A 20,614-nucleotide genomic window follows, 5' to 3' on the forward strand; every position below is an offset into this window, starting at 1 on the left:
CTGGTCTTTAAGGCAGCACTGTCAGCTGTCGGCGGAGGTGTGCAAGGGGACGTATGCGCCCACCCCTCAGAAGATCCAGGGGTTTCAGTGGGGCCCAACAGACCACCTCAGGCCTGGCCATGCGTCCCTCTCTCCCCTTTCCCCTTCTGCCTCGTGCTCTTGGCTTGGCCAGCCCAGCCTCCCCCACACCTGCGAGAGCCCAACTGTCCTCCCGTGAGGTGCCTGCACTTCTGGGCTCTCACTGACCCCCAGGGTCACCCTGCCCTTGGCGTCCTCTACTTCTTCAAGCCACCGAACCTCCCTCCTGTCTGGGAGACCACTGGCCAGTGCCCACTTCCCTGACCGCCAGCTCCCTGGCTTCCCAAGTCTGGGTCAAGGCCCCATGGGCCCCATGGCAGCCTTTGGGTGAGCCGAGGCTCAGCGCTGCCGGTCCTGGGCCTCCCTCAGCGGCTGCGCATGGTCACCGGGGCAAGGCACTGAGCCCTGCCGATCATCTGCAGGCCTCACCCACGGCCCTTAGATCAGGAGTCACTGCAGAGAGACGGAGCCTCGTAGGTTCTAAGGAAGCTGCCCCTCTCCCTCTAATGGCAAGGGCTGGAGGAACACACAGCTGACGCGCACCGCCCTGGCTTCCCTGGCCTGGAAAAGCTCCCCTTGCTGTGCCGGGCAGTTTGTGTCACCTGGAGATATTGCTGGTGTGCTTGGCCTTCAGGCCTGTGTCTGAATGAGACCTTTCCTGGAAAATAAAGCAGGTTTGTCTCAGAGTGAATCTTTCAAAATTTAGGATTACAGTGCTGGCCTTTCTGGGAAAGCCATGGCAGCAGCCCTGCTGGGGGCGGGGGAGGGGCCCGGAGGATGCCCTGTGCTGCTCCCACTTCTGGCGCAGGGGGAGACCCCTGACTGGAGTGCCCCTGGCTGGAGGCGGGACCTGCAGTCCCAGGTCCCACCTCCGCCGTCTCTGATGCTGCCCCTCACATCGGCCTCAACAGAAGGGGAGGGAGGAAGGTTCTGGTGCTGTGGCGGCCTGGGGCCCTAGAAAGGTGGGGGTCTTGACTGCTCACAATAAGACCCTGCTCTCAAGAGCAGACCCAGGTCAGGAACGTACGGCTTCCTCGGCTAAAGCAGCACCCAGTTAGCAGCGAGTTACCAACCGTTTGGAAAGCAACCTGCTTCCCAGGGACAGACGGCAGAGGTGGTGGAGGTGGGAACTGGCTGTGACCAGTGGGGTTCCTCTCATAATGGGGTTTGCACTGGGAAGAAGACACCCTTTTGTTCTAACGCTCACAATGAGAATTCCAGCACCCACGCCCATGTGCAGGAGGCGTCCTCTGCGAGGTGCCCTGTGTGCTGGCCACCTCGAGGCCCACTGCGCATGCTGAGGCCACTCACAGACAGTGGGCCAGAGAGTGGACCCTCCCTCTGCATTTTCCAGAACAATGCGAACGATGCCTGCACACCAGACCCCGCGAGCGCCGTGCTTAACTACAGGGGTCCGTGGCCTCCTGTGCGGCCTGACGTTTCCCCACCGCTCGTGACCTCGAGTGCCTCTGGGCGCTGCCCTTAGTTGCACGGCACCCGGACCGTCCTGGAGTGAGCAGGGCCAGCTTTCCATCGGGGGAGGCTTGCACAGAGTGTCCTGGGATGGCTGCAGTCCCTGCCATCCCTCTGCCCGCCCCACAATGCCAGGCCAGAGCGCCTGTCAGTAAGAGCCATCAGACACCAGAACCCAGGGGCGTGCAAGGCACCTGTAAGTGTGTGACCGCCTGTCTGGTGAACAGAGGGCCTGGGACCAGCACCTTGGTCTGGAGCACCCACAGGCAGGCAAAAGCCAGCACTGACCCGAGGGCATCTGAGCTGCTGTCCCACTGGTTCCCCAAACATAAGGGACTGGGGAGATTTTTTTGTAAAGACAGGTGAGGTCGGATGGTAGAGTGCTGCCTTTTCCTTGAGCTGAAAATGAGGATGCTGCTTCCAGAGAAGTCCCCCAGAGTGGGGGCTGAGCATCAAATGGGGGTGAAAATGCAGGTTTCCTGCAAACCGCTGAGCACCAGGACACCCCCACTAAAGTGCCCTGTCACCCCGACTCTACTGAGACTGTCCTCAGGACTGCCGGGCTGGGGAGGGCAGTCCCAGAGGGCACAGGAGGCAGACTCCCACCCTGCCCCCTGGCAAGGCCTCTGCATCTGGTGTGCTGGAGCCTCAGGCACTGCCCTGCCCTCCGCTTCCTGTGGTCAAGTGATCTGGACACATGGCCCTTGAGTCCCCCACGTGCCAGCTGGCTGTTCTCCGGACCTGCACTGGACACCCAGCGCAGGCAGCCAGGCAGAGCTCTGCGTGGGGAAGCCACCGACTGAGTCGTGTCTTGGGGATCTGGACTCACACCCAAAACCCTGTAGACGGGTTCAGAGGCTCAGGAAGAGCAGGTGTGGGAAACTCAGAATGAAAGGTACCCCTCCACTTTGTGTCACACACTTCAGACACTCTTGGAGGTGGATATGACATTGGTAGCTGTGGCACTGCCTCCTCCTCCCATCTCACTGGCCCACGCCTGGTGGAGGCCCTGCTGGGAGCAGGGAGGCCCGGGCCCCAGCGTCATGCTGGAATGGAACGCTGCAGGTGGCGCTCTCACCCCGAGCCCGTGGAACATTCTTTTTCTCTGCCCAGGTCTCAGAGGCCAGCTGTACAGACCACAGCGTCTCTGACTCCCTCCGGCGGTGTTGGTAGGGACACAGCAGGGAGCCCTGTCCCTGGGGGCTCAGAGCAGCAGACAGGCCTGCTGGGCAGAAGAGCCCCAGCCTGCCTTGGGGCCACTGACCGAAACCCACATGAGGACTCCCTAGAGAAGCTGACTGTCCACAGAGGAAACGAAGAGAGAAAGAAAAAGAAAACCTCTGGTCACAGTGTGCTCCACGTAATGGAGAGAGGGACCCTGAACTGAAAGGGTGCAGTCGCACCGCAGAGGACCCTGAGCCATCTTCTCACGACAAGAGGGCTCCTTCCAGTCCTGCCCCCTGCACCTCTTCCAGCCATCGTCACGGTTCTGCCACATTTAGAGCTATGCGGGGGTGGGGGGCAGGTGCAAGGCGGAGCTGCAAGCATCCACGTGGTCAGAGACCCACTGGCTTTTTCATGCTCTGGGGCTCTCGGGCAGCCAGGCCACAACCCCGAGCCTGTCAGTGTGGAGCATCCTGTGGGGTCTCTGGGGTCTTCCTACCTCGTTTCCCAGCAAGGCAGAAACACATGCTTCCGAGGCGTCGCAAATGGCGGTCAGGTCGTGGCCTCCCTCGAGGGCCAGGACAATCCGGCCGCCAGCCAGGCCCATCAGCTGCTTCGTCAGGTACCCGAAGCCTGCAACGGGAAACGGGAGACTGCAGTGTGAACGGGGGAGGACCGCAGCCAGCACAGCCCAGAAACGCGTCTCATGGCATCGTAAGAAGACTGGGGGCTGGGGTGTCGAGACACATGGCCAGGCCGGGTTTCGTTTAATAAATTCGCTGAAGAGTTTCGGCTTTGGATTTCCTCTTTGATCTGTTTGAGAGGAGGAATTATGGCTTCAATGCTTTGATTTTTAATCAGCAAATCATCTGCTTTAGGGGACGAGGGCAGCCAGCCCCACCCAGAGGCTGCAGGCCACCTGCCCTTCGGCCCCCGCAGAGGGGCTATGGCCATGCTCTTGTGGCCGTGGCCCAGCGGGCTCTGGTTATCTGACATGCTCCAAACATGTATGTGTACACATGTGCACAGGCTGCATGTGCTCCTGAAGCGTTCTCCCACGTCCAGGTCTGAGCGTTTGGCTTTGATCAAGAGCCACAGTCCCGCCACTGCACCCACATCACTCACCCCAGGAGGGAATGCCTGGTGGATGAGGGTAATCACCACCCTCAGCCAGGCCAGGCCGGTGCTGATTAGAGAGCCCGGAACCACGCGCCGCTAATTAGTGGCCCCGATCATGGGCTGGCGAGGCCGTAACTTCCCAAAGCCTCGGTTCATCCCATCTGATGGAAACAGTGACAGGGGCTTCGAGGCAGCTGTGCGGACTGAGGAGGAAGCTGAGGATGTGGTGGCCGCGGTGCTCCGGGCCGGGTGCTGTGGGGCGTTGGGCACAGTGGAAGCTCTTTGCCCTCTGTCTGGTCACTTTGCTGGCCACTAGGCTGCACGGCCTGGTGGACTGTGGGAGGCCCCAGGGGAGCACAGCCACCGAGGGCTGCCTCAGGTCTCCTGGGTGAGCCACACCCTCCCCACGCAAGGACCTGAGAGACGGGCCCCTCCTTGGCCGCCTGTGCCGACAGGAGTGGGGAGGGCCATACACTGTGGACGCTGGGGCCTTGAGGGCATCACCAGGGCTAGGACCAAGGCCACAGGATGCTTGGGCCTCGGGAGGCTCTCCAGGATCCTCGGGGACTCCAGGGTGGGGGAGGCGGCCAGGCCTTTGTGTGCGCCAGGTTTTCATCTCCTTGTGAGTTGCTGAGGCACAGCAGGAGCACTGCTGGGCAGTCCCTCCTCCCATCCTGACAGCATGGCCCCTAACGCTGATCCTGAGAGGACACACACATCCTGGGCTCCCTCATCCAACTCTGAACTCAACTGTGCCCCCAGCAACTTCCCTTTACAGTTCCAAGGAGCACCGCCTGCCAGAGAAGCGGCATGGGGCACATCTCAGCTCTTGGTGGGACCAGGACCTGCCCCTGGAGGTGGCCTGCAGGTCCCTAGGCACCCGCATCCCAGAGAGGGAGCCTCGTGTGCCCTAGGCCCTTCCTGGGCAAAGAGTGCCCGAGGTGCCTGGGTCTGAGCTCCCGCTGCCTGCTCTGGGCTCTCTGGGGCCTCCCAAATGGACTGGTTCCCAGTACGGTCAGAACCTTGGTCATTAGTAAAAAGGTGCCCTTCCTTATCTCGTTATTAAAAAGGGGACCTGACACGCGGAACACAGCGGATCATGGACATGAGCAGAACCGGCTCCTCAGTCATATGCAGAACCACTTACATCTGGCGGAGAGGTTGTAGCCCCCAAGAGGGGTGGGGTGGCCCTCCACGGCATCGAAGCCTGATGACACCAGCACCACATCCGGGGCAAACTCGCTGGCGATCGGCATGACCACCGTTCTGCAAAGGACAGGAGAAGGCGTTACTGGGTCAGCTGAAAGAGGGACGGGACGGTCACAAAACCCCAAGGTTCCCTCTGGCATTGATAATGCCTGCCCCGCACCCCCTCGGCCACTGGCGGGCTGAGGGCTCCACACAGCAGGCTGGAATCTGGCGACCACGCTTAATTAGAAGGGAATCAACCCACGTGTGATCCAGGCTCATTTCACATCTTCACAGTGCAAGCCAGCAAGCCCCACGACACTTGCTTGGTGAGAGGGAGTCACGGTGCAAGCCAGCAAGCCCCACTGCACTTGCTTGGTGAGAGGGAGTCACGGTGCAAGCCAGCAAGCCCCACTGCACTTGCTTGGTGAGAGGGAGTCACGGTGCAAGCCAGCAAGCCCCACTGCACTTGCTTGGTGAGAGGGAGTCACGGTGCAAGCCAGCAAGCCCCACTGCACTTGCTTGGTGAGAGGGAGTCACGGTGCAAGCCAGCAAGCCCCACTGCACTTGCTTGGTGAGAGGGAGTCACGGTGCAAGCCAGCAAGCCCCACTGCACTTGCTTGGTGAGAGGGAGTCACGGTGCAAGCCAGCAAGCCCCACTGCACTTGCTTGGTGAGAGGGAGTCACGGTGCAAGCCAGCAAGCCCCACTGCACTTGCTTGGTGAGAGGGAGTCACGGTGCAAGCCAGCAAGCCCCACTGCACTTGCTTGGTGAGAGGGAGTCACGGTGCAAGCCAGCAAGCCCCACTGCACTTGCTGGGTGAGAGGGAGTCACGGTGCAAGCCAGCAAGCCCCACGACACTTGCTTAGTGAGAGTGAGTCACGGTGCAAGCCAGCAAGCCCCACGACACTTGCTTAGTGAGAGTGAGTCACGGTGCAAGCCAGCAAGCCCCACGACACTTGCTTGGTGAGAGGGAGTCACGGTGCAAGCCAGCAAGCCCCACTGCACTTGCTTGGTGAGAGTGAGTCACAGTGCAAGCCAGCAAGCCCCACTGCACTTGCTTGGTGAGAGTGAGTCACAGTGCAAGCCAGCAAGCCCCACTGCACTTGCTTGGTGAGAGTGAGTCACGGTGCAAGCCAGCAAGCCCCACTGCACTTGCTTGGTGAGAGTGAGTCACGGTGCAAGCCAGCAAGCCCCACTGCACTTGCTTGGTGAGAGGGAGTCACAGTGCAAGCCAGCAAGCCCCACTGCACTTGCTTGGTGAGAGGGAGTCACGGTGCAAGCCAGCAAGCCCCACTGCACTTGCTTAGTGAGAGTGAGAGCATTGCTGTTTCTTGGTATGCTGTTTTCTGTATAATTTCTGTAACCCCCATGGGACAAGCTGCATTAACCTGGGGGAGTGAAGCCAGCTCCCTGTCCCACTAACACCCCTCCTTGGCCCCGTGCCCACCCACCCTGGCCCTGTCCCGTCCTCTCTGTCCTGGTCCTCCCTGCCCATCCTCTCTTCTGAGACTGGGTCAGCTCCACTCGCCCCATCAGGCTGCTCTTGCTGCGACAATGCACTTTCCACAGCTCCCACTGAAGACACGTGCAGTCACCCACTGCCCCTAGTGCTGGGACTGAGTGTGGCCGAGAGGGCGGAGAGCCCTTGCCAGCCCTGCTGGGGGAGCCCACGTGTTCCTTACTCACCCTGGAACACCAACACACACAGGTGTAAGGGAATTACAACACAAGACACTTAAGAATCTTTAAAGGGAAAACTGATGACAAATGTAAGAGAATTCACTGGAAAAGACAGAACCACTGAGAAATTCTTTAAATTATATTAGGGAAATAAGGAAAGTATTCTATTTGGAAAGGGGAAAAAGCACTCCTTAACACAAAAGAACTTATCAGTCTTTAGTCTAATGATCTTATCAGTGTGTGCTATGAATCCATGCGTATGCTATGAATCCATATGTGTGCTCTCCGTGAGTAGGGAAGTTCAGCAGTTTCATGTCTCCTTTAGGCTGCCGCCTTCGATCCTGAGTTAATCACCACCACTGACTTTCAAAGTCTCCTTCACTCCCTCTGTGGGTGAGGGGAGCAGAATCAGGGCCTCCCTTTCCTGGCGGACAGCAAGGACCTCATGAGACAGGTGGTCTGGTGTCTTCCTGCAATGACGGCCCAGGTGCAAGGGGCCTGTGCAGGTGAGGACGGTGGAACAGAAGTGGAGCCTTTAAAAAGGGGCTTCAAAAAGTTCGTGGAAAAATTGAATTAAAAGATAAAAAATATAAACTTTATTTCTCAAGCTCCATCAAGTCCAAGACACTTTTGCAATGGTGACCGCAGCCATTTAGTCCCTCCCGAAAGGACTGAGTGTCCTGGGAATCTAACCATGTCAATGCAGTCTCTGTTGTTTTTTTTTTTTTTTTTTACATTAAATGAAGAAAAATAAGTGCCCTTTACAGGTTTTTCTAAGATTAGGAAAGAAGAAGCAGCCAACTCAGGACTGGAAGGTGGATGCCTAATGGTTTCTCTTCAAAGCTCTTGCAAAGGTTTTCTAGTTTAATGGAGTGAGCAGAAGCATTGTTGTGGAGGACTCTTGGTGGCGGCGGAGGGAGGGGTGCTGGGCACGGTGGCTCACGCCAGTAATCCCAGCACTTTGGGAGGCTGAGGTGGGCAGATCACCTGAGGTCAGGAGTTTGAGACCAGCCTGGCCAACATGGTGAAACCCCATCTCCACTAAAAATACAAAAATCCGGGTGTGGTGGCATGCACCTATAATCCCAGCTACTCGGGAGGCTGACGTGAGAGAATCGCTTGAACCCAGGAGGCAGAGGTTGCAGTGAGTCAAGATCATGCCACTGAACTCCGGCCTGGCTGATAAGAGCAAAACTCCACCTCAGAAAACAAAAAAAGACTCTCGGGGGAAACTCTCCCAGTGATTTTCTGTGAAAGTGCTGAGGAACTTTCTCAAAACACTCTCACAATAAGCAGGTGTTATCATTCTTTGGTCCTCCAGAACAGGCAACATGCCTTGGGCATTCCCCAAACCTGCTGTCATGACCTTTACTCCTGCTTGACCAGCCTGCTACTGCTGTGACTGGGCCACCTCTGGCTCTCGGTAGCCGGTGCTGTGGTTGTGCCTTGTCTTCAGGATGGTCCTGGGAAAGCCGTGCTCCATCTCCTGTTATGACACTCAGGACCCTGAGTCCACCTGTTGAACATTTCCACCGAAAGCTCTGCTCCTGTCGGCAGCTGATCTGGACGCTGTGGTTTTGGTGCCCACTGACTGGAAAGTCTGCTCAACTTTAATTCTGCAGGCAGAGTTGTGTAAGCTGAGCCGGTTGAGACGCCCATGGTGTCAACTGTTGCTTCTGCTGTTAATTGTGGGTCCTCTACAATTAGGGCATGAACTGGATGAATTTTTTCCTCACAAATTGATGTGGATGGTCTGCAGCTGGGGGCTTCATCTTCAACACCATTGCACATTCCTTCTTAAAATGAGTCATCCATTTGTAAACTGCTGATTTCTTTGGGGCATTGTCCCCATAAACTTTTCATAAAGTATCAATGATTTCACCACTCTTCCTACCCAAGCTTCACTGTAAACTTGCTGTTTGTTCTGGCTTCAGTTTTAGCAGAATTCACGTTGCTCTGAGAAGGGCTCTTTTCAAACTGACGTTTTATCCTTGGTGCCTCAAACTAGATCCTGTCCAGATATAACACGTTAGTGCGAATTTATTTTGGTGCAGAAACATTTTGAAACCCATGCAGTTTTTTTCAAAATATGCATTTTCTACGAACTTTTAAAAGTCTCCTGGTATTTCCACCATGAAGCCTAGTTTGCACGATTCCCACTTGTGCTGTGAGCTCTGGGGGTCCCCTCACCAAGCCCTTGTGTGAGTAGGTCCATGTTTTAGGGTTTCACCACCGCCTACTTCCTGGAGCTGCTCAGCCCAGCCTGTCCTGCACCGAAGCACACTTCTGTGTCCCCACGGCCTCCCCAGCACACGCGTGTGGGCCAAGTGCATCACCCGATGGGCGCCTCCCTTCATATGGATTTTCAGAGGCCCCTCCCTGGGGGCAGCCAAAAATGCACTCACCGGGCCCAGTGTCCCTTCCCACCACCAAGGACCTTCCAGAAACATCACGGCAGACGGCAGCAGGGCTGGCCCTAAAACTTTTTCATTCAGCTTTTATTACAAATGAAATTCCCCACTGATGTCACTGAAAGTATCAACTTTGACCAGAAGAAACAAAAATGCTGAAAATTCAATGTGACCCCTTTTCGGGGATGACCGCAGATCAGAATCTTATTGAAAAGTTCCTCTGATTTCTGGTGGTGGAGGGACACAACCCCCAAGGGCTTAAACACCAGGTGAAGATCCCGCGGGCTACTCTCTAGAGGGCCAGCAGTCATGAGTCCCATCAGGGACGCTGAGGCAACGGGAGGGCCCATCTCAATGCTGGGAGCACGCGGTGCCTGATCCTGGTGCCCCGCGTCCCATGAGCAAGCTCAGACGGGAGAAGAGTGATGCGTGGGACTGTGTGGCTTCAGCCTGTTCAAGTCAGTGCTGACAAACTCTGCCCTCCAAACATGCGTCAAATCCACACCTAGGCACCTTGCCCGCCAAGAAACTCACTTCTGGAACTTAGATGGGAGTCACAGGAGACCCTGGGTGGCTTCTGAGCAGTCTGCTTCTGTTCTTTTTTCTGAAGAGAGCCAGTCCACACAATTTCCCCTAGACCTGCCTCTGCGGCAGCTGTAGAAAGTGCTTTCCAAGGACACAGGAGCTGTGCCCCGAGGGCCATCGTTAGGGGCTGAGGAAACAAGGTGAATCTAGACAGGGGCAGCGAGCTTCCTGCCACGGGTCAGATAGGAGGCACCTGACCTCAGTCTGTGGGCCACACGGTCTCTGCCAGGACCACGTGATGCTGCCCTTGTGGTGCCCAAGACAGGACAGACAGTGCATCGGCGTGCGAGCGTCCCTGTGCTCTGATAACACTGTGCCAAGAGCACAGGCGGCAGGACTTGGCCCACCAGCTGGAGTTGCCCAAACCTCTGCTCTGGTCCTGTCCATACAACTTCTGTAACATTCTTCCATGCATGATTCTGGTCCCAGAGTGAGAGGTTTCTTCTCACCTACTGGGACCCCACCACAAAGCATGGCGATTTCGCAAACATGGTGTACAACACAGGAAACACCGCACTGGCCTCAGAGCGTGCGTGGAGTTGGTGTCGGCACTCCCGCCGCAGGGCTGGGAGGGGAGAAATCAGTCTAGTCAGTGGCAGGATGGAGAGAATGCCTTGGAATCCAGGAGTCCTTTGACTCTTGCTGGACCCAGGGCCCTGCCCTGGACACTGGAAGGCACTGGCCCCACAGTCCTTTCTGACCGACATTCCGAGGCTTCCTCCATGGCTCTGACCAACCTAATGGGCAGCAGGACTGAGGGGGGCCGCAGGACTGAGGGGGCCGCAGGACTGAGGGGGGCAGCAGGACTGAGGGGAGCAGCAGGACTGAGGGGGGCAGCAGGACTGAGTGGGGAAGCAGGACTGAGGGGGCCACAGGACTGAGGGGGGCCGCAGGACTGAGGGGGCCGCCCTCTGCTTTCAACTGTCCACATCATCCCAAGGAGACTCGCTTCTAATTATTTTAATAAAGTTCTTGTCATAAAACCTTTTTCTTTGGACAGAAAAACACATTTCCAGCCATGCTTTTGGTGTGGATTTTAAAGCCAAGACCTTTTTCAATGAGAACCACAGGCGTTTTGTGTGGACGCTGTGTCCTTGGCGAGGCACTCTGACTGCTGCTTTGCAGCGAGCGCACGTGGAGGCTTTACTTCCCCACTTTGAAGTGCTGCTGAGCTATTTTACTTCTAATCCCCCTCCAAAAAGAAGTCCTGTGAAAATCGCCGTTAAATGAAGTTCATACCAAGAGAGTCTCTGCTGTCTAGGCTTGGTGTGTGGTGTTGCCTCAAAGCCAGTCAAAACAAAATGGGAAAGATGAGCCCAGGCTCGTGGGCACTGGCACGTCGGCCACACGTGAGGCTGCGTGGGGCACAGTCGGATGCACGTGCCCACACACTCATTTTCATTTTACTGGGCTCAACACCCTCTAGGTTGTGATCCCAAACACCTGCTAGACATAAGAAGGTCAGAACGTGAGGTGCATGAGTGCACCTTCAGCACCCGTTTGTGGCGCGACTAAGAAACGTCCCTTCTCCTCCATGGGACATGACTTCTTTGCCTGTAAAAAGGAAGCTGAGCATGGCACTCCCTGTGTCTTCAGGACTGTGCTTACCCTCCACGACTTTCCTACAAGAGGAAGCTGAAGGAATGTCCCTGTTTAATAGATGCTGCAAAAAATGGGAAACTGGACTCACATTTTATTCCCAGAATTAAACTTTTAATAAAGAACTCAGTCTCGGCCGGGCACGGTGGCTCACACATGTAATCCCAGCACTTTGGGAGGCCGAGGCAGGCGGATCATGAGGTCAGGAGATCGAGACCATCCTGGCTAACACGGTGAAACCCGGTCTCTACTAAAAAATACAAAAAGTTAGCTGGGCGTGGTGGCGGGTGCCTGTAGTCCCAGCTACTCAGGAAGCTGAGGCAGGAGAATGGCATGAACCTGGGAGGAGGAGCTTGCAGTGAGCCGAGATCGCGCCACTGCACTCCAGCCTGGGCGACAGAATGAGACTCCGTCTCAAAAAAAAAAAAAAAAAAAAAAAAAAAAAGAACTCAGTCTCTAAAAAAATAAGATTGAGATGTTTGCCGTGGGCCTCTCAAGCCATCACTTTAAGGAGAGTATTTCCATGAGGTCACTTTTGGCCTTTCTTGGGGCAACCTGAGGGGAGAGAGGGGTGGGCTCGCAGTTTCCCAAGGCAGTAGGCCCACTGATCGTCCACTGATCGTCAGCTCAAGAGGCAGGAGAAATGGGTGGAAAGAGGGGATCTTTAGAGAAGGTGGACAAATGCCTGTAAGGTGCACCCCTGGGGCCGGCAAGCCCAGGGAAGCCATGACTGTGGTGCCCAGAGGGTGCCTGTGCCCGTGAGGCACGTACAGAGGGAAACGTGGTGCTAAGGGGAGAGAGCGGCTTCTCCTCGCGGTGGCCTCTGCATTTAGGGAGGTCCCGTGTGAAGCCGTGGGGTGCCACGCATCCCCTTCCCGTGGCCTCAATGTGGCTTCTCTGGCACCTTCGTTACCGACACAGCACTGCACCCTTCACTCGGTCATCAGCCAACCTGCACCTGCAGCCTGAAGACGACATCTCCCCTCAGCTTCCCAGGGAATAGAGCTGGGCTGGGACAGCAGACAGGTGCCAGCCACTCCCCTTGGTTTCCCGGGAAACAAAGCTGGGCCGGGATAGCAGGTGGGTGCTGGCCACTTTCCTCGGCTTCCCAGGGAGACAGAGCTGGGTTGGGACAGCAGGCGGGTGCCAGCCACTCCCCTCAGCTTCCTGGGAAACAGAGCTGGGCTGGGATAGCAGTAGCAGGCGCGTGCCAGCGAACTCTCCTTGGCTTCCTGGGAGACAAAGCTGGGCCAGGATAGCAGTAGCAGGCGGGTGCCAGCCACTCCCCTCAGCTTCCGGGGAAACAAAGCTGGGCCGGGATAGCAGTAGCAGGCGGGTGCCGGGCCACTCTCCTGGGCTTCCCAGGGGAACAGAGCTGGGTTGGGTTGGAACAGCAGGCGGGTGTTGGCCACGCCCCTCGGCTTCCCAGGGGGAACAGAGCTGGACCGGGACAGCAGGCAGGGTGCCGGCCACTCTGCTTCCTCGAAAGGCCATCGCTCGTGCAGCCTCCCAGCTGTGCTCTGCGCAAGGGGCTGTGTCACGGGGCACGTCTAGCTCTAAACCACCACATACCATCAAATTATGGCCTGTACATACCATCCTCAAAAGCCACAACTGCATCTAAATGCAATAATTCACTTAACAGCTGGGTTTCAACATCTGGAAAGAAATGACCTTCCAGTTCATTCCCCTAGTAGGACCCTAAACAAAACTCACCACACCTTCCGTCAACACAAGCCTCAGAGCAAACCGAGCTTATGGGGCCAAGAGGCTGCAGTCCTGTGGCCACCCACAGCCGGCAAGCCTCTGGGGACTCCGTGGGAACTGGGCTCAGGGCTGGCACGCCATGCTTGAGTTTCTGGCTGCCGTTCTGCCCCAATAAATGCCCTGGGGCATCGTCCACACAAACTGGCTCCTCACTGGCTCTCCCTACTAAGGGGCCTCCAGGTGGAGATGCTCCCAACCACCCACTTGGATGGACACTTTCTCACTTTTTCCTGAAAACAGACTGAAGCAAAAGCGTCCCCACTGAACCCTCATCCACCCCCACCTGAACCTTCTCCCGCTGGATCTCTGCCCAGCACCCTTCAGCCTCCTCTAAGCCAGCACCTCGAGACCTCACCAAGTGCCCTCTCCCCCAAAATCAGCCCCTACTCCCCTCAATCCCATCTCACTTCAACCTCTTTGAGATGGCCCCACCTCACCAGCCTGTGGCCCTGTCCCAATCTCTGCCGCTGTTTTCTGGGCTTGTCCACTGGCCCCCAGATCCTACCCTGGAATGCTCTTTGCCAGGTCCAAGTCTGTCACCTAAGCTGCCACAAGACGGGCCTGTCCAACATGCAGAGCTGGCCGTGATGCTTCTTCATTCCACAGTCAGAGGCCCCGATAGAGCCCCTGCCATCAGGGCCAAGGTCTGGCTCTGTGGATGCAGCCCAGGTGAGCGGGTTTGCACCATCGGGCTCTGTTCCTTCGGGACGGCCCTTCTCCCATAATGTCCCGTGCCAGGCTCGTTCTTCCAGGACTCAGCTGGGGGCTTGCCTCCTCCAGAAACTTCCTTGGCCCCACCAAGTGGGCAGGTCCCCTGAGGTCTTACCGGGCCTGCCTAGAGCTTGTCCTCCCAGTCCCCCGCTATCCTCCAGGGCAGGCACTGTGCCGGCTCCACTGTTCGCTTCTTACAGGGCCGGCCCCACAGGCGAGCGAAGGCTGGCGCAGGACGAGCTCTCTCAGCTCTGAGGCTGTAGCTTATATGCTTTTGCTTCTTTTTGCTTCTCAGATAAATTTCTACATAGGAAAATACTTGGATGCACTTAAAGAGACATAATTGCTTTTAGAAAAGAAGGTGGCACGGTCTGTATGAAAACTTCATAACCCTGACTTCCTCAGGCAAGAAACCCAGGGACCAGCGTGGTGTGTGCAGCGGGTGCCACTCAGCAATGGTGAAAACAGCAGACATCAGGCGCTGCGACTCCTAAAACACACCTGTCTACAAAAGGCAGCAACAGCAGCAACACAGCAACACAGCTTACGGAAGGAACGAACATTCAAGAGCCTCAGCCTTCCCGTCTTACTTGAAAGTTTGGGGAAAGTGAAATAGCTTTGCCCAGTTGCTCAATTTCAAGGCTAATGCCAATTCGTGAAGCTATCACAGTTATTGCTTGAGAAGATCCAGTTTCAGAGACATCTTTGATAAACTTCGTAATATCACAGTGGAATCTAAGCTACGAACCACGGGCATCTGGATGTGGCGCTCATCCCTGACGGAAGAGTCCCCATGTCCCCGCGCACAGGTGAGGGATGGGTTACAGAGCACCATCTTCATCGTCATCGTCATCTCCCTACAAGCCCCCACCCCCAGCGGCTCAGACTTTACTCAGCAACTTCAAAGCCGCGTCTGGCACCGGGACTGGTTTGAATTAAGGTTCCCTTTTCTCCTACGAGTCTCCGGGCCTGAGGAGAAAGTGCCGGCTGCTTCTGGATTTCATTAGGGGCAATTTTCTTATCTTTTCTTCGTCTTAGGCTTGATCCCCTGAAAATGCAATGTGGCAGGCAACGGGTCTGAATAACAAGGTGCTGCCTGGAAGGCATGCATTGTCCCCGGGGGGCCCCCGTGGGGGAGAAGAGCAGAAGAAAGGGGAAAACCAATTTCTGACCCTTCTTCCCCATCATCGGATGCCCAGGGAACCATAAATTGTAAACTTCAAAGTGCTATTTTACATTAAAATCAATAAAAAAAAAACCCTGAAACAATTTTCCTTTTCAAAGATGCTATTTAAGCTTTAAAAAGTTCACTTGATAAGGTATTATCACGGACACACTTGGCAGGAGATTAAAGCACACGCCAAGAGCAACTCAGAAAGGCACGTTCATCCTAAAGGCTGGCTGGGCCGGCCGGGGCCTGGGGAGGGGGAGTGACCCTGACGGCAGACGCCCATTGCTGCTTTGGGCCTGGGCTTGCCCGCCAGCAGGGATGCCACGGGGTGAGGGTTTCACCCCAGGACCCAAGAGCCGAAGGCACCACTGAGAAACGCCTATGGGGTGAGGGTGGCTCCATCAAAACCTGGCCTGGGACCACTGACCTGAAAGAGGGCAGCACCCCCTTTCTCCCCGTCCACCAGGAAAGCCCTGCCTTCTCTCTCTGCACGGGAATTTGGCCACAGTGGGCCCTGGGTCCCCCGGGTGGCACCAGTGTTCACTCAGGCAGGAAGTCCATCAGGCAGCATGCACACCTCTTATGGTGGCCAGAGACTTTGCTTTCAGAGAAGCCTCCAAGGGGGGCCAGTTCTCTGGGGTGACAACTAAGTGAGGGGCAACGGGAGCACATTCCATGAGCAGATGGTGACACGCCCACGCCAGGGGTCCGATTTCATATGAGCTCATTTTCGGAAGTGGTACACATTGGGGGACGTCCTTCTCTCTTAAATTAGGCAGGGCATCTGTCAACATTACATTAAATCTGATCAAGAGTAAGAAGAAACATCAAAATCAAACCGATGAGATCAGGGGAAAAGTGGTTCAGGTACAGATCAGGGCAGGTCCACTGAGGAGCAGATGAACTCCCACCGGCACAGCCCGGGCTCACTGCCGGAGCAGCCAAGCAGCCTGGGCTCCGTCAGATGGGGTCTGTTCCCTCTGGGAACCACTGAGTGCCTGGGGAGGGGGGCCCACGTGTCCTGGGCCAGGGCCTTTATGTTACCAGATCTCAACAACCTTTCCAAGGAGGGCAACGGACCCCAGTTAGAGAAGAGTGAGCAGACACTGAGAGGGGTCTCGTGACTTATTCACCGTCCCCAGAAAGCATGTGGTAGAGTCCACACAAGACGTTTACACATGTCCTTGTGAAGGGCCTCACCTGCCGGAGACGTGCATACTCAGGTGCACACGAAGACATGTGCATGCAAAGACACACAAGCACACGTGTGTGTACTCATATACAGATGTGCACACACACACAGAGATATACACACAAAGACGTGCATGCAAAGACACACAAGCACACGTGTGTACTCATATACAGATGTGCACACACAGCGATATACACACAAAGACATGTGCATGCAAAGACAAGCACATGGGTGTGTCCTCAGAGATATGCACACACACGTATACTGCATGCACACAGACATGCATCCACACCCACACAGATGTGTGTAACACACATAGGCATGGACACACACCTGCAGACATGCACATGGCTGTAGACACCTGCACAAGCACTGAGAGACATGCACACAGATGAACACCCACCCACACAGACACACACACAGATGAACGAACACCCACCCACACAGACACACACACACAGATGAACACCGACCCACACAAACACACACACGCACGTGGACACACACATATGCAGACGTGCACTCACATCCATACACAGACACATGCACACACGTCACAAAGACACGTCTGCACACGTGCGTTTTATATGTATGTAAATCAGAACAAGACCATGGAGACAGAGAAAGAGAAAAGCGCTGAAGACTGTATGGGGCTTTGACACCATACTGACAGCGTTTTCTAACAGAGACACGGCATGTCAGGCTCAGCCACGCTAATAAAACCCTTCTCCTCACGTGGCTCTGGGAACCGATGTGGGCTGTGGGCTGCTGCCCTGGACGCCCGTCACTCCACCACGGCAGGTGAAGCTGCCATTTTAAAACGATGACAAGAAAACCTGCGCTGCTCAGCATCCCATTTTGGGTCACAGGAATGACCCCAATCTGGCCTAGACCAAAGGAGAAGGAACCGCTTGATGACAAAAGCAAACACTGCGTCTTTAAACGGCGCGCCCTGCGGCTAAATGCTGAAGGGTCACAGCCACACGAAGGAAATGGGAGGGAGGGCGACAACTGCCTTTGATTTTTAGGAATAAATAAAGAAGAAATACTTATTTCCATTGGACATCACATCACAGGAGGTTTGCGGAAGAAGAATTAGGAGATCATGAGACCCTGCAGGTCTTTGCCTTCGTTTCTCATGAACATAACACTCTGCACAAAAGTCCCTGCCTCTGTCTCCATCACTCTCTCACCATCGACCCAAAGTGAGCTCCTGGTTTTATTTCATGCACAAAAGGGAGCACTAAGAGCTGATGGTAAGAAGATAGTCGCCAAGATTCCACGCTTGGCACTGAAGAATGAACTGAGACAGCTCCTCCGGACCCCACAGCCCCGTTCAGCCACAGACCAGTTTCAGACACGCTCATCTCCAACAAGTGCTTCCTGGAATGTGTGCACAGAGGAAAAGCTGCTACTTCAGGTGTCATGTGAAGCCGGGAGGCTCACCTGAAGGCCGCCAAGTACTCAGCGTCTCCCATGGGGGGGTCCAGGCCGCCGGTGAAAGCCATGTTGACGTTGAAACCCACGCCGGGCCCTGTGCCCACCTGTGGCCAGAAGGAGAGAAACACACGTCATGGACCCCGAGCGGGACCTGTCTGACAGGAACGCCTGATGCAGGTGGCACCGGGATGGGCTCGGCCTTGGTGGGCCCCTGGGGAGAGCCCACGTGTCCTGATCTCCTGGTGCATATTCATTAAGACGCGTGTGAAGGGGCCCCACTGACAGGGGCACACTGACATCAGCAAGGGGGCCCTTTTCCTGGCTGCTGTAGGCTCTCGCCGACCCTGCCCTTGGCACACCAAGGCCCTGCACTGACATTTCTGCGGACCCGCCGCCCTGTGTTGTGTGCCGTGTGTTACATCAGGGAATCAGACCTGGGTCTCTCTGGGCAGAAAGTGTCTCCGATGAGCCTGTCATTTCCTACTTCCTCTAAAAAAATAATATCCAGAGGCAGACGGAGCGTCTTCCTGGATGAAAGCCCTGCTGTTGGAGCCTCTGTTCAGAGTGGGCAGGCTCTGAACGGGGACCTGGGGCGTTGTCAAGGAGCCGCTGGGCCTGCCGTTCCTGGGGCCGCCATGCAGCCCCGCGCCGGGCAAAGGACAGTGGACAGAGCCCCTTGCCGGAGGGTGTCCTGTGGAAGACAGTGGCCTGGGCCCTGCCCGGAGGAAAACGGGCACCACACACCTCCTCCTTCACAAACACCTCTGTCTGCCTGGATGGGAACCAGAAACAATATCCAGCCTCTCATTTGTACTTCAGACAAAACACAGGCCACCTGTGCACACGCGATACGATGCAGGCTGACGTCTGACTGAAGTTACTGTCTGGGCTTAAGTGAGCACGAAGGCCGCACTCACTGCTGCCGGGCAGCTGTGGACCGTCTGCCCCGTGCCCCCACAGCGGCTCCCCGCAGTCCCCCTTTCCCCCCAGAGGCCCTTATATACCCCACCTACCTCATCAGGAGCCCCGCTGCCTGGGAAGAAGTTCCCATCGTCGTAGCGGTGGAGGGACATGTACAGGACGCTGGGGTCGCTGTAGAAAGCCTGCTGGGTCCCGTTTCCATGGTGCACGTCCTTAAAGAGCAGGGACAACTACTTCAGGGCTGAGGCAGGTATTGGAGGGTGGCCTCCCCTGAGGGCCGTCCCCAACCCCAGTTGTGCTTAGTGACAACGGCTCCTGCTCAGGAATGACATTACCCTCCAGCTGGGCCCGTACCCGGCAGGCGCGATTCTGGGGCTGTGTGGGTCAGGGCTACGTGGTGCAGGGTCGCAGGGGTTCTAAGGGCCAATGTTCGCGTCTGCAGCACTGTTTCCCTCGCCCTTAGCGCCATGGCACAATCCTGACTCCAGCAGCCGATGGGGCTGGAGTTCAGCCAGGCCTAGAGGCCACCATTTCCCAGACGAAGCCATCTGATCAATTTCCTACACCTGCCGTGTCTCTGACAAGTGAGCCACTTCCTCAGCCTCTGTCAGGAAGGAGGTCACTGGCTGTGGCCTGCCCGCTTGCAGGCACGTGGGAGGTGCCAATTCCATGCCAGGCAGGGCGTTCGGCAGGAGACAAGTCCCAGGTGTCCGTGAGTGACAGGCACACACAGTACGGGGTCCAGGCCCCTGTGCCCAAATGGCAAGCACCGTTTCTTAATCACAAAACCCACAGGTCAGATGCAGCAGAGAGCACAGGCAGCCTGGGGCTTTACTGACCGTGGCTGTTCTGCCCCGGGCCACAGGGCAGGTGGTCACCAGGATGGGCGGGCGAGGGGGTGGCCCCGCTGAGAACAGCTGTGTGCCTGAGAAGACAGCATGCAGCCCTGATGTTCCCAGCACGAGAACTTGCTGCTCCGTTATCTGTGCTCATCACAGAAAAGGCGGAAGGGCAGCTACAGGTGAGGAGCGATGGACAAGAACCTTCCACCCCACAGAGTAGGTAATCGCTGTGAAGACGCACATGGAGGCTTTCCCGACATGTGGCTTCACACTGAGATGACCCTGTCCGCATGGTGTGTACATGGGCAATATCACAGCTCAGCGCGCAGGGAGCACGCCACACAGGGTCTACGCAGCCTGTCTGCGTGTCCTAGCGCTTCACTCTTTTGGGGATGGGTCCCCAGTCTTTAGCCATCAGCGACCTCACACTGCTCTCTTCCCAGGCACTCCTACCTGCTCCCTTAGGAGGAGCTGAGGGAGGGCTCCCGGCTCGCAGGTCCTTGGGTGTGGGGGACCCGCTGCTCTGCCGCATCCCCTGACCTGCCTCTCCGAAACAGCATGGCTGTCCTGGCTGTGCCATATTGTTTCTTTACCCAAACTCAGAAGGACTTCTCCAATTCAAATCATAACCCTACCTGACAGGGCCTGCTTTTTTCCCTTAAAAATTATGAAATAAATCATAAATACCAAAGAGAACACTAAATATGTATATATCTGGCTTTAAAAAGAGTAATAAGATGAATATCTTGAATATTAATTTCCGGTATAAGAATGAGTATACCTATTCGTGGAATTCAGATTCGGACATCATATAGCATTATTTAAAAAGAGATGACTCTTTTGGGGGCAGTGGCACCCCCCATTCCAGCAGGACCAGGTGCCCACACAGCAGCAGGAAGGCACGGGCTTCACTGGGGTGACTGAGAAGCAGACTGCCGCCTTCGACCAGGGTGAGGGTCCTCCCAGGCTCCCAGGCCACACACGCAAAGTAGATGTGGACACAGCCTCCTCCCCAACACCTGTCTTCCAAGAAGATCTCGTCGAGGGTGGCCCTGGCCGCTGCCGTCACCCACAGGCACATTTTTAGACACGCCAGGACCCCATTCGCCAGGGTCGGCTGACGGAAGCTGTACAATGACTTGTAGCAGGTTTGGGGCTTTACTTCTCCGCATCTTTGAGACCGTTTCCAGAAACCTAAGCTTCCCACATCCAAGAGCCCAGCTCCTCTGTCCACACGCTGCTGTCCGCTCGGGGACGGCAAAGGAGCAAC

General features: G+C 56.2%; 1 protein-coding gene and 1 non-coding gene across 44 annotated transcripts in view, besides 2 other annotated features; both read right to left on the bottom strand.

Annotated features, from left to right (window-relative positions):
• Positions 1–20,614, bottom strand: part of HDAC4 (histone deacetylase 4) — a 353,482-nt gene that overhangs the window by 15,340 nt on the left and 317,528 nt on the right. For all 43 annotated transcript variants that reach the window (XM_047446489.1, XM_047446486.1, XM_047446483.1 and 40 more), the window contains 4 exons: positions 18,595–18,714; positions 17,588–17,685; positions 4,982–5,100; positions 3,215–3,348 (listed from right to left, as the gene is read on the bottom strand). In XM_047446489.1, the coding sequence (XP_047302445.1) occupies positions 3,215–3,348; positions 4,982–5,100; positions 17,588–17,685; positions 18,595–18,714 (471 nt within the window). The remainder of the gene's footprint in view (positions 1–3,214; positions 3,349–4,981; positions 5,101–17,587; positions 17,686–18,594; positions 18,715–20,614) is intronic.
• Positions 3,836–4,337: an enhancer, noted in NCBI's record as "H3K4me1 hESC enhancer chr2:239989039-239989540 (GRCh37/hg19 assembly coordinates)". NCBI's record gives its function as "activates a minimal SCP1, AML or CMV promoter by ChIP-STARR-seq in naive H9 embryonic stem cells {active_cell/tissue: H9 hESC(naive)}" and the evidence as "EXISTENCE:reporter gene assay evidence [ECO:0000049][PMID:30033119]".
• Positions 4,338–4,837: an enhancer, noted in NCBI's record as "H3K4me1 hESC enhancer chr2:239989541-239990040 (GRCh37/hg19 assembly coordinates)". NCBI's record gives its function as "activates a minimal SCP1, AML or CMV promoter by ChIP-STARR-seq in naive H9 embryonic stem cells {active_cell/tissue: H9 hESC(naive)}" and the evidence as "EXISTENCE:reporter gene assay evidence [ECO:0000049][PMID:30033119]".
• Positions 5,310–5,407, bottom strand: MIR4440 (microRNA 4440). The gene has a single exon (NR_039642.1). It is a non-coding gene; the product is annotated as a microRNA 4440 (primary transcript).

Source organism: Homo sapiens, chromosome 2 (assembly GCF_000001405.40).
Source record: "Homo sapiens chromosome 2, GRCh38.p14 Primary Assembly".
Classification (NCBI taxonomy): domain Eukaryota; kingdom Metazoa; phylum Chordata; class Mammalia; order Primates; family Hominidae; genus Homo; species Homo sapiens.